Source organism: Homo sapiens, chromosome 2, assembly GCF_000001405.40.
Source record: "Homo sapiens chromosome 2, GRCh38.p14 Primary Assembly".
Lineage (NCBI taxonomy): Eukaryota > Metazoa > Chordata > Mammalia > Primates > Hominidae > Homo > Homo sapiens.
In genome coordinates this window covers 68,311,126-68,324,372 of record NC_000002.12, presented here as the reverse complement: position 1 = coordinate 68,324,372, position 13,247 = coordinate 68,311,126, and the positions used below count along the sequence as shown (strand labels likewise).

Sequence of the window (13,247 nt, the reverse complement as noted above, 5' to 3'; positions counted from 1 at the left end):
TGTTCAGGAAAGATAACATTTATGTAGGGAAACAGCAAAAGTATTATTTGGAACATAAAGTGCTATGCTAAATTGGCCCAGAACAAAATACGAAACTGACATTATGATCGCCATCACCTGACCAAGGTGCATGTGACTGTATAAGGAGGTAACCAGATCCCCTAAGAGCCTAGCAGACAAATGAGGTCTACTGCTTATTGCCATGGCTACAAAATCCTTTGGGTCTAAGGGAGGACCTAGGTTCTTCAGAATTGGTCCAGGAGGATGGCTTTGTCTTTATGTCTGTTAAATCTAGCCAGAAAGAAAGCCCTGATATAAATGTAAAGTGTACCTGGCTGGGCACTGTGACCCACATCTGCAATCCCAACACTTTGGGAGGCTGAGGCAGGTGGATCACTTGAGGTCAGGAGTTCAAGACCAGCCTGACCAATATAGTGAAACCCTGTCTCTGCTTTAAAACATACAAAAAAAATTAGCTGGGCATGGTGGCACGTATCTATAATCCCAGCTACTCAGAAGGCTGAGGCATAAGAATTGCTTGAACCTGGGAGGCAGAGGTTGCAGTGAGCTGTGATTGCACCACTGCTCTCCAACATGGGTGACAGAGCTAGACTCCATCTCAAAAATAAAAGTAAAATAAAATAAAATAAAATGTAAAATGTACCAGTTAAGATCTCTAATGCTAAGACATTCTGAGGTAGGCAAAGGGAAGGAGTCAAGCACCTCATAAATCATTGACACTAATTTAAGAATAAAAATAAGAAATAACTCCTGCAGATGTTAAACTGTACCTGAATGCAAACATGAATACAAAGGAAAATACATTGTTAAATGTGCTGGTATTATATTGTGTATATGTGTTTGTGTGTGTGTATAACCCAAGCCCAGGACACATTATGACACATGACATAATTGAGTGTATACATATGTATGTGTATAACCCAGTCCCAGCACTCTTAACTACGTTATTTTCATATACATGCACACAACTATGTCCTGTGTCATAATTCTAACTGTTTTTGAACTCTATATTATGAATTCAGCAGAGACTGGAACAGCGAATATGGAACGGTTGTTAGCACAATGTCTTAGTCTGTTCATGCTGTTATAACAAAATATCTTAGCCTGGATAATTTATAAACAACAGAAATTTATTGCTTACGATTCTGGAGGCTTGGAAGTCTAAGGTCAAGGCACCAGCAAATTTGGTATCTGGTGAGGGTTCACTGTTTGCTTTATAGATGGCAAATTCCCGCTGCATCCATACATGGTAGAAGGGGGCAAACGACCTCCCTCAAGCCCCTTTTACAAGGGTACTACTAATCCCATTCACGTGGGCAGAAGAGCCCTTATGACCTAATCACCTCCAAAAGAACCCACTTCTTAATACTATTGCTTTGTGGATTCGGTTTCAACATAGCCATTTTGGGGGAACACAAGCAGCTGGGAGGCTGAGGCAGGAGAATCGTTTGAACCATAGCATGTGATTCCTCTGAATGACAACTAAGTCCATCGTTCACTTGGGCTCAATTTCACAGTTTTCAAAAGAATGATAATAAGCATTGTCCATTAGACAGACAATGTTTAAGATCACCAATCTGAGGTAATAATTAAAGAATCTACAATAAGACTGAAAGCACTAGATACCTTAAAAATATATAGCAAGAAATGAATTAATGCAGGAAAAAAAAGCCAAATACCGCATGTTCTCATTTTTAGTGGGTGCTAACCATTGGGTACCCATGGACATAAAACAGTTTTTCAACCCTTACTTGTCTCCCTCCCTCCCTGGCTAGTAGTCTTCATTCCATTGGTAACAATAGACACTGAGGACTTGGATGATGGGATCATTTCTACTCCAAACCTCAGCATCATGCAATACGCTCCAGTAACAAACCTGAATCTAAACTAAAAGTTGCTACATATTCAGCAAGTATATTTTTAAATAAAAATAGTTACAATGTATTGAGTGTCTCTATGGGCCTGATATTCTTGCATAGTTTACACAATTTCATTTGGTTCTATATGCATCATCTATGTCACCATCATCATTTTACAAATGAAGAAACTGGGGCTCCAAGAGACTAAAGCAGCTTTGCTCAAGGTCACTCAGTTTGTAATCCACAGATCTGGCAACACAAACACAGATCCATCAGACTCCATATTCATATTCTTTGCACATATGTATCAGTGATGATAAATTTTCCAATTACTTTTACATTTATTAATTTCATTTTAAGACATTACATTGTATGGTCCTGAAAATGCTATTCCTAATGGATATTGCCCAGCATTAGTAACACCTCGTATTTGAAAAGTAATTTATTTTTTTCAAACAATTTCCATTTCCTCATTCAATTCTCACAATGTTGGGAAGGAGGTATTTTAATCCTCATTTTACAAAGATGAAACATAAAGATGTTAAGTTATTTGCATAACGAAACTAAAAAGTGGCAGAGTTAGGTTTTTTTTATTTTATTTATTTATGAGATGGCAGTCTTACTATTTTGTCCATACTGGCCTCAAACTCGTCGGCTTAAGTGATCTTCCCACCTTAGCCTCCCAAGTAGTGGGGACTGCAAGAGTGCACTACCTAGCCAGGCTAGAACCAGAGTTTTTGTTTTTGTTTTTGTGTGGGTTTTTTTTTTTTTTTTCAGATGGAGTCTCACTTTGTTGCCCAGACTGGAGTGCAGTGGCATGATCTCGGCTCACTATAAGCTCTGCCTCCCCAGCTCAAGCGATTCTCATGCCTCAGCCTCCCAAGTAGCTGGGACTACAGGCATGCGCCACCACGCCTGGCTAATTTTTTGTATTTTTAGTAGAGACAGGTTTTGCCATTTTGGCGAGGCTGGTCTTGAACTCCTGGCCTCAAATGATCTGCCCTCCTTGGTCTCCCAAAGTGCTGGGATTCCAGGCATGAGCCACCATGCCGGCCTTAGAACCAGGTTTTAAAATGGAGTCATCATCCTCCAGGTCCAATGCTCTTTTTGATACACAGGTGGAAGTTGGCTTGAGATTGTGGGGTTGCTAAACAAAAGGTTGAGGAAAAAAGGCAAAATTTCCAAAAAGGCTTTTAAATGACCCCAAAAAGATACTCACCCTCTTTCCACTACTCATAAACCATAATAACCAACATTAAGTTTACTGTGTAACTCTCTCATTCTTTTAAAAGAGCTAATACAAACATACACATTTATATTCTTTTTAAATTTTCATTTTTCTAAAACACTAGAGATGCTACTTGCAATTAGATTTCTTTTCATCATTCCAGGTAAATCGCAAGGATCTAATTAATTTTAAAGATGTGAAAGAATTTACATATGGACATGATTAAGACCACAACCGTAAGTCAATTCAACAACGATTTCTGGAGCACCTACTATGTGTCAGGCACTATTTTGGCATGCTGGGGAAACAGCAACAAACAAAACAGACAAAATGCTCGCCCTCAGGCTTTGTTTCCCAGCCATCCCACTTTTATCATTAACAGTTTTTGCCTGTGTGTTTGCCAATGCAACCTATATTTCATTATTTTGATAGTTGTGTAACGTTCTATAGTGTGGGTATATAAGAATTTATTCAGCCATTTATTTATTGGTTAACATTTCATTTAGGTTTTATTTTTATTTTTGCAACCAATGTTGCAATAAACACCCATATTACATATATATTATATGTATAGCTTATTATTTCTTAAAAAAGAGCAGTCTAACTTGGGTAAACAAAAACTGCCAAGGAAACGCATCCCTACCCATTTGTTCTCACTAGCCCACTTCATTTCCCAGGTGTGCTCCCTGGCTCTGGTACTATCCATCTGGGTGGTGCTGAAGCAGGTGCTCTCTCTGCTCCGGGAAGCCATTCCCAGTATAGTCCTCACCCCCTGAGTCTCCCCTCGCTTCCAAAAGTCAGCTGTCTACCGACCTCTGCCACGAAAACTGTCTAATCACGCTTAATATGCAAATCTAAACTCTGCGGTGTCGCATATGGCCCCCTGCCAATAATCCTTTGACCCATCCCACCTCTTGGCCATTTTGTCACCAGAATGCCTTAGGCTCATGTCAGTTGCCTTTTACAGGGTTAATAGCTCACCCTTCAAAATCTGTGTAAATATATGTGATTCATTACATATATTTATGTATGTGTCATTTTTGGGACGAGCATACGTATAATGGAAATGTACACCCACAAGAAGATGTAGCTCCTTGAATATGGTTATTTTCTTCCTCTTGCATCCATTCCTCATCCAGCGTGGCTCCATCACGTGGAATTGCGCCTTTCCTCGGCCATTTCCCCTAAGCTTTGGAAAGACTCATATTTCCTGAAATTTAAATCACCGGCTAGCGGTTTCCTGTCCCCCCTTCCCGCCTCCCTTTACCCCCCCTCAGCCTCCTCCCGCCTGGCTGGCGCCGGATCCGCGAGCAGCAGTGTCCACCTCACGTAGCTGGCCGAGGCGGTATCCAGATTCCGGGGGTCTCGCTCCTTGGCATAGTGGTCGCTTAACTCCAGCGCCTTCCCAGTGCCTCCCAAACCTCTCCTCCTCCTGCCCGGGGCTGTTCTAGGAGGAGCCTAAATGTCCGCTTCCCCAGCTGAAGGGGATTGTGGTGCGTAAACAGGATTAACTCCCTCGCCCCCAGCTGCGCGGATCTGCGCGGCGGCCTGCGGGCCAGAGCGAGCCTTCGGGTGCGTGGAGGGCGCAGCACTGGAGCGGGGGATGGGGAAGCGCGCGGCCTTGGAGCCGTCTCTTGGGCCCGCTTCCTCGCCGAGTGGGGAGGGGGGCCACAGCCTAAGGAGCTGCTCCTCAAAAGCCCGGGCGGACGGCGGCGACGGCGCGGGTTCCTAGCGGCAGCCTCAGCTCCACCACCTCCCTCACCCTCCCCGCGCTTCCTCTCCGCCCCTCGCGCTCCAGCCACTCGGCCGCAGCCGGCGCTGTCCTCCGCCCCCCGGAGCCGCCGCGCCAGACCCTCGCCCAGACATGGGGGACCTGCCGGGCCTCGTGCGCCTCTCCATCGCGCTGCGCATCCAGCCTAATGACGGCCCGGTCTTTTACAAGGTGGACGGGCAGCGCTTCGGCCAGAACCGCACCATCAAGCTGCTCACCGGCTCCTCCTACAAGGTTGAGGTGAAGATTAAACCCAGCACGCTGCAGGTCGAGTGAGTGCGGGGCGCCTGGTGGCAGCAGGGTCCCCCATGGGGTACAGGCAGAGGACTGAGGCCCCCAGGACAGCCCGAGCCTCTCAAGGGCCTCTGGCCTCGCGCCGCTCCCAGCGGGCCCGGGGGTTGGAGGAAGAGGTCACTCCCTGTCCGCCTTCGTCCCCTTCCTTCCCTTTGGCTTGTATTCCTCCATTCTCGCTTCCCTCCACCCATCGCAGTGACCTCAGTGGGTTCTTTAAAATCAGTGACAAGAAGCCAGGGTTTTTGCTTGTCTGTTTCTTATAAATTTCTCCTGCCTTCTGTCCAGCCTTGGGCGCGGAACCGCAGGCGGTCGGGGTGGAGCAGATGGGAGAGGTCCGCAGGGTTCAGCCACCGCAATCCCAGCCCTCCTGCGCGCGGTCCAGGCGGCCCACAGGGTCTGCCCGCAAGGCTGAAGGAGGGAGAAAGGAGGAATGAGGTGGAAAGGCAGGGGAGGGGTGATTACTGGGGCTCCCTGAGGGATGCTCCCCACTCCCTTCGCCATTCAGTGGCTGGGACCCTGGGGTGGAGCAGCAGACACTAGTAAGAGAGCGGCCGCCCCTTCTCTGGCCTAGTTTCACGGTTTTCCATGCCGTATGCTGTTCTTTTTCTCCTGAGTTTTCTGTTCAGGCTGGTGATGGTGCCTGGGATTAGCAACATCCCCACAGCAAGAGGATGTTTTTTGGTTTATCCATGGCAGGGACGATTTCTTGCCAGCGACCGCTGGATAATGCACCCAGTAGACCTCTGGCGGGAAAGTGTGTGGGAGCATGCAGTAGCCTACCCGGAAGAACTGCGGGTGGAGCCCCTTTACCTCTCGTTTCTACCTACCAAAGTCTAGTCTGCAGAGAGAAAATAAACCAGCATTTATTGTATCTACTACATATGGTGGGCATTATTGCGGGGGTGGAAGGACTTTGAATTCATCAGATACTACTTATAGCTTACGTTTTAATTCAGTAAACTTGTATTAGCCTTCCAAGGTGCAAGGACCTAGAACCAAATCTGGATGGTTTCTGGTACTCCTGATTCATCTATTTGTCAGCATCCCCCACAGCTCCATGCACCCTTTATTCTCACATTTCCCAGTGTTCTGTGCACCTGGATATAATCCAGGCTTTTCCTTTCCCTTCTTTCCTGCCAACCTTATCCCCGGAGTTATCTGTTAATATATTTCTTTTTTTTTTTTTTAGAGTATTCCTCTAGTGTTCAAACTAATCTAAAAGTTAATTTGTTAGGAATAAAACTATTTTTTCTGGTTACATTTTAATGCTATCAAGGATTTCTCAACTCTAATCCTGTGGTTCTCAAACCTGAGTATATATCAGAATCACCTGGAGTGCTTGTTAAAACACAGATGCTGGAGCTCTCCCTAGAAGTTCTAGTTTAGTCTATGGTAGGGCCTAAGAATTTGTTTTCTAAGGTCTGCAGGTGATGCTGATACTGCTGGTCCAGGGACTTGGCTTTGAGAACCATTATCCTAACACAAAAGAATGATGCCAGTGAGAATTTCTGATGGTGTAGAAGGCTTGAGGTACTCCAAATCATAGGACCCCTGATTGTTGGAACAGGAGAAAAAAAATATTAGAGGACGAGTTCAGTATTCTCAATCCTACCTGCATATTAAGATCACCTAGATAACCTTAAAATAAATGTACCAGTGTCCAAACTACATCCCAGGCCAACTGAATCCTAATGTCTGGGGCTGGGGATAGGTAGGTTTTTAATTCATAAATAGGAGAAGCACTGCCCCCTGAACTTGCAGAACTTTCTCCCGCACCACAATGCCCCCCTTAGTGAAACCCTGTAAGTTTCCTGCCTAGAGTTTTGGTCCAAAACAGGACAGGGTGCCTAGGCTAATTTCAACCGTATGTGGTCAACTCAAGTCTATTGCAGGAATATTTCCATTGGTGGTGTGCTTGTCCCACTGGAACTGAAGTCTAAAGAGCCTGATGGGGACAGAGTTGTTTATACGGGTACATATGACACAGAAGGTGTGACCCCAACGAAGAGTGGAGAACGGCAACCCATCCAGATCACCATGCCGGTAAGGCTTGCTTGCGGGTATAGGAGTATGGTGCCATGGAAAATGGAAACCACAGAAAAGAAAACAATCACTATCTCTCTGTAAGAAAAGGTGTGTTGGGAGCCAATTACTGTGGAAATTGAGTTGTGGATTTCCTTCAAGCATCTGCTGGAGAGAGAACTACTTAATTAATGCTCTTTTGCATGACAGACTGACCCTGTAGATGCTGAAAAGACACCATAAGCAGAAGCAGATGGTTCTGGAAGAGACAGAACCTACATTGCCATTTTCCCAGTTATAGTCTACTTCAGAACTGGTTTAGATAATTGGCTGTGAAAAGTTTCTGATTCCAAGTAGGCCACAATATTCTGGTTAAGAGAAAGCTGATTTGAATGACACTTTGCTACTTAAAGCTAAATGGAGGAGCCAAAAAAAGTGTCATGGGAAAAATACACCTCTTATATAATATCCTATAATACACCTATTTTATATAATATATACCTATTATATATACACCTATATAATATATATATACCTATATTATATATACCTATTATATATAATATCTGGTAATCCTATCAGATATCATATATAATAAAATGATATACCCTGGTAATATGGCCCCAAGTAAGAAAAAACAAATTGGTAGAAAGGATAGAGTCAAGACATAGATTTAACTATATGTGCAAACATAATAAATAGGTGATGAAGCAAGCTTGCTAAAGCACAGGAAAAGGAAGCTTCACCTAAACTGCTGCTTGCAAACTGGGCAGCCTTTTCCCTCTGCAAGAACAACCTTCAACTGTCTGCCCTCTAGCTTTATAGGAAGTATCACAAGGGTTCTCAAATATCGGTATGCGTGAGAATCTCTTTGGGAGTTTGTTTAAAATTCCAGTCCTAGGTTCCCTCTCCAGTGATCTTAGCTCAGTAGAGCTAGGGTGGGGACAGAGAAACTCTTAGCAAGCATACCAGATCCTGAAGAGGATGGTGTGGGAATGCACTTTGAGAAATGCCTATCTAACCTTTGGAAACTTAAAGTGTTCCCAGTCCCCATTATACTTTTTAAAACCACAATAGTCACATAAGGAAATAATCTAGCAGCTCATCCCTTTGCATCCAATGTTTGAACTATTTTTAGAAAGTGCTCTTGTTCTGTCAAAGAACCTTCAACACAGAAAAATACAAAAATGAGGGAAATGTATAATTCCTGCAAGAGAGAAGTGTTGTTAACATGTCAATAAATGTTCTTAGAAAGTTGTTTCTATGTCTTTGAATATATATGTGTGAGCCTGGGCAACATAGTGGGACCCTGTCTCTAAAAAAATTTTTTTTAGTTAACCGGGTGTGGTGATACCACACCTGTAGTGCCAGCAACTTGGGAGGCTGAGGCAGGAGGATCACTTGGATCCAGGAGGTTGAGGCTGCAGTGAGCTATGATCACACCACTGCACTCCAGCCTCGGTGACAAGAGTAAGACCCTGTCATTAAATATATATATTTGAGTATCATTCCATATATATACTTTTTTCTACTTGTATACATCTTTCAATGTCAAATATATGCCCATATATATATATGGAATGTCATTTTAAAGTCTGTATGGGTATTGTATTTTATGAATGTATCAAATTATCCTCAGTCACTTATTGCTGATTATTTCTGGTTTTCGGTATTATAAACAAAACCACATTACAAATCACTGAGTACTGTACAATTGTCTAATGTTTTCTTGATTTCTAGAAGAAATGTGCACGTTAAGGCATTTTATAAGACTGCCTCACTGACCTCCAGAAAAGCTAGGCAATTTACACGCCTATCATCTGTATTTAAGTATCCATTTCTCTCTGCACTAGGTATAGTTTGTCATGTTTACATATTTTTAATCTGACTGAAATACTTCAATTTTTACTTACTGTTAATTTGAAATCCTGACATATTCATTTACTATTTGTATTTGCTTCATGGATTATATGTTCATAGTTTTCACCCATTTTTCTGCTTAAGTGTATCTTATTGATTTTTTGAAAAATCTTTATAAATTTAAAATCGTCATTTTTATCACATCTTGAGTGTTCATTTAATATTTTAATTTTTATTTTGTTTACAATATAAAATATAAATTTTGTAGTCAAACATGTTAGCCTTTTCCTTTATTATTTTGCAGTTAAGATCCAGCTTAGAAAGTCTTCCTTGACTCCCAGATTAATTAATTATATATAGACATATACACAGTGGCATTTGTGTATTTTCATCTGAACTCTTATGGTCTCATTTGTTAAATTTTAGATGAATTACAGATTTAGATATTATTTCAGTTCTTACTTTTATATTGGAAAGTATTTGCCCACAGTGTCCTAATACAATTATTTAAATAATCTATGCTTCTCCAAAGGTCAGTTTCATAGAAATTTCTTATATTGCAAAAATTTTATCTCCTCCTATACTCCCTAATCTATTCCATTGATCTATCTATTGTTACACCAATACTGCATTGTTTTAGATACACTGTTTTTATAATATGTATTCATATACTTTGTAACTGACCACCTTACTGAACTTGCTTACTAAAATTTTTCAGCAAATCATCTTGGGTTTTTCATATAGATGGTCAGAATCTGAATATAACTGTCTTTTTTTTTCCTGGTCATATTGCATTGTCTAATGTTTCTAGAATAATGTTGACTGCTGCTAGCAGTCAACTACAGCTAGTAGCAGTAGTTGGAGATAATTTATCTTATTTGATATATTTGATGAATTACATAAAGTAATACACTTCCAAATACTAAACCTTATTTTTTACAATAAGCCCTACTTAAACATGTATTATTAATATATTGCTAAATTCTATATGCTCTTTTATTTAGAATTTTTAGATTTTTAAAATTTGCTTGCTTTATCAGCAAATATTTGAGGATTTCCTGTATATCAGGGACTCAGGGGGAAGAGTGGTGAACAAAATAGATAACCCGGGTTTCATAGAATTTCTGATCTTGAGGGTGGAAACATACTTTATACATGATTATCAATGATAAGGTAAATAATTGCTAATATGAAAAGTATAGCAAAAAAGTAGTGCTGTTAGAGTATATACCAAGGGTCTTATCCTAGTCCAAGATTTGCGGGATGGTTTTCTTGAGGAAAAAATGAAGGATGAATAAGAGTTGAGGAAAGAAAGAGCATTTGAGGAAAGAGTAGTTGTAAAAGTCAAGAGCTGGAGACAGCGTATGTATTCTAATGGATGAGAAGCCCAACATGGTGGGCATAGAGTGAGGCAAAGACAGTATAAGATAAAGCCAGAGAGGTAAGTAGGGGTTGGATGATATAGAACCTTTTTGCCACTGGATTTATCCTAATGACTATAGGAAATCATTGAAGTTTTTGAAATCAGCTTTGAGATATGATTAACATAAAATGCACCAACTTTACAGTTACATAGGTTTTGACAAGTAGATGCTACTATATAATCACCACCCCAATAAAGATAACAGAACACTTCTATTACCCTGAAAATTATTTGCAGTTAATTCCTCCCAACCTAACCTATCCTGAGCTTGCCATCTCAATATGTTAGTTTTAACTATGTAAGAATTTCATGTAAATGGAACAGTGCTGTTTGACTTCTTTCACTTAGTATAATGTTGAGATTCACCTATGTTGCACATATCAGTAGTTGGTTCATTTTATTTCTGGGTAGCATATTATGTTGTGTGGATATACCATAATTTCTCCCTTTACCAATAAATGGACATCTGGGTTGTTTTCAGCTTTTGCTATTATGAATAAAGCTGCTGTGAACATTTGAGTATAAGTCTCAGTGTGAACATATTTTCATTTCTCTTGAGTAAATACCTAAGAGGACAATTGCTAAATCACATGGTAAGTATGTGTTTATCTGTGTAAGAAATATCCACACTGTTGTACCATTTTGTATATCCACCAGCAGTGTATGAGAATTCTAGTTGCTTTACATACTCAATGTATGTCTTTTTAATTTGGAAATTCCAAAGACATAGAAGACCCAAAACAATCTTGTTTGATCTATATTGTAGTCCTTAAAACAGGTAGCATAAATCTTCTAGCTTTGTTTATTCTAAGTTCTTTTGCTTAATCTAGGTCCTTTGTGTTTTATATAGATTTTAGAATGAGCTTGTCAATTCCTCCAAAAATTGGGATATAGAGTTTCCATTAAACCTATAGGTCAACTTAAAGATATTTGACATCTTAATATAGAGTTTTCTATACCATGAACATGAAATATCTCTTAGGTCATCTTTAATTTTCTCCACAATATATTACAGTATTTCCTCTACAGACTTTATACATATTTTGTTAAATTTATTATTTCATATTTTTGAATAATGTAAATGGAATCTTTGCTGGTATATGGAAATAAAATCGATTTTTTTTGTATATTGATATTGAATCCTGAGACTTAGCTAATCTCACTAATCCTAATAGCTGTTTTTGGAGGATCCCTAGGATTTTCTAAATATGCTATCATGTCATCTGTAAATAGTTTCTCTTTTCTTTCCAATCTGTATTCATTTTATTTATGGCCTAATTGCAATGGCTAGGACCTTCGCAGTATGCTGCTAAATAGAAATGGTGAGAGTGGACATTCTTGTCCCTCAGTCTGAGAGAGAAAGCATTCTGTTTTTCAATACAAAGTATAGTAGCTGTAAGGTTCTTTATTGTAAATCTTTTTATCAGGTTAAAGGAGTTCTCTTCTATTCCTGGTTTACTGAATGTTTTTTTAATCATGAACGTATTATAACATGTTTTCAAATAGTTTTTCTGTATCTTTTGAAATGATCATAAGGTGTTTTATTCTGTTTATGGTAGATTACCTTGCTTTTTCAAAGTTAAAATAACCTTGAATTCCCAGGTTAAATACCACTGGTCATGGTTTATTCTCGGTATGTAAAACTGGATTTGATTCATTAATATTTTGTTAAGGATTTTTGACATCTATGTTCCGGGGGGGATATTTGTCTATGGTTTGCTTTTCTTATAATGCCTTTGTCTAGTTTTGGGTATCAGAGTAATGCTGGCTACATAAAATGATTCGGAAAGTGTTCATTCTTCTATTTTCTGGAAGAGTTTATATAGAAATGATATTTTTCTTAATGTCAGAATTCACCAATGAAGGCATAGATTATACTTTATTTGAAGATTTTTTATTACAAATTCAATTTCGTTAATAGATATCGGGCTATTCAGGTTTTATTTCCTGAGTTTTTGTAATTTATCTTAGAAGTCATTTATTTCAATTAAATTTTCAACTTTATTCCCATAAAGTTGTTTATAATCTCCGCCATTCTTCAGTGTCTTAGGATCTCTAATAATGTCTACTCTTTTACTCTTTGATCCTTTTCTTTTTTTTTTTTTTTTTTTTTTTCCCCGGAGATGGAGTCTCACTCTGTCTCTCAGGCTGGAGTGCAGTGGTGCAATCTCGGTTTACTGAAACTTCTGCCTCCCAGATTCAGGCAATTCTCCTGCCTCGGCCTCCCAAGTAGCTGGGATTACAGGTGCGCACCACCATACCCAGCTAATTTTTTGTATTTTTAGTAGAGATGGGCTTTTGCCATGTTGGCCAGGCTGGTCTCGAACTCCTGGCCTCACAAGATCCGCCCACCTTGTCCTCTCAAAGGGCTCAGATTACAGGTATGAGCTGCCGCGCCCGACCTACTCTTTCACTCTTGTTATTCAAAATTTTTATTTTTATACCCTCTGATTAGTCTAGCTAGAGATTTCAGTTTTATTGGCCTTTTCAAAATCCTAGCTTTTTTTTTCACATGCTTCACTCTGTTTTTCTACTTCATTGTTTTCTAATCCTATATTTATTCCCTTCCCTTGTTTGCTTTGAAATATTTTAACTTAAGTATAATACATATACAGTAAAATGATCCCTTCATAGAGTTCTTTCTGCTTGTCAGTAGTTTGGTTATGATGCATCTTAACTGGTTTTTCCCCCCTTGGGGATCACTGAATTTCTTGAATCTAGAGGTTAATGTTTTCACCAAAATTGGAGTATTATTAACCATTGTTTTGT

At 40.0% G+C, this 13,247-nt stretch overlaps 1 protein-coding gene across 10 annotated transcripts in view; it reads left to right on the top strand.

Annotated features, from left to right (window-relative positions):
- Window positions 1-4,423: 4,423 nt before the first annotated feature.
- Window positions 4,424-13,247, top strand: part of CNRIP1 (cannabinoid receptor interacting protein 1) — a 35,779-nt gene continuing 26,955 nt past the window's right edge. For 2 of the 10 annotated variants that reach the window (NM_001111101.2, NM_015463.3), the window contains exons 1-2: window positions 4,424-5,151; window positions 7,066-7,216. In NM_001111101.2, the coding sequence (NP_001104571.1) occupies window positions 4,973-5,151; window positions 7,066-7,216 (330 nt within the window). In that variant the 5' untranslated portion in view covers window positions 4,424-4,972. Of the gene's footprint in view, window positions 5,152-7,055; window positions 7,217-13,247 lie in introns of all 10 variants that reach the window. The other 8 variants (NR_163970.1, NR_163971.1, NM_001371607.1 and 5 more) reach the window with 8 other exon arrangements.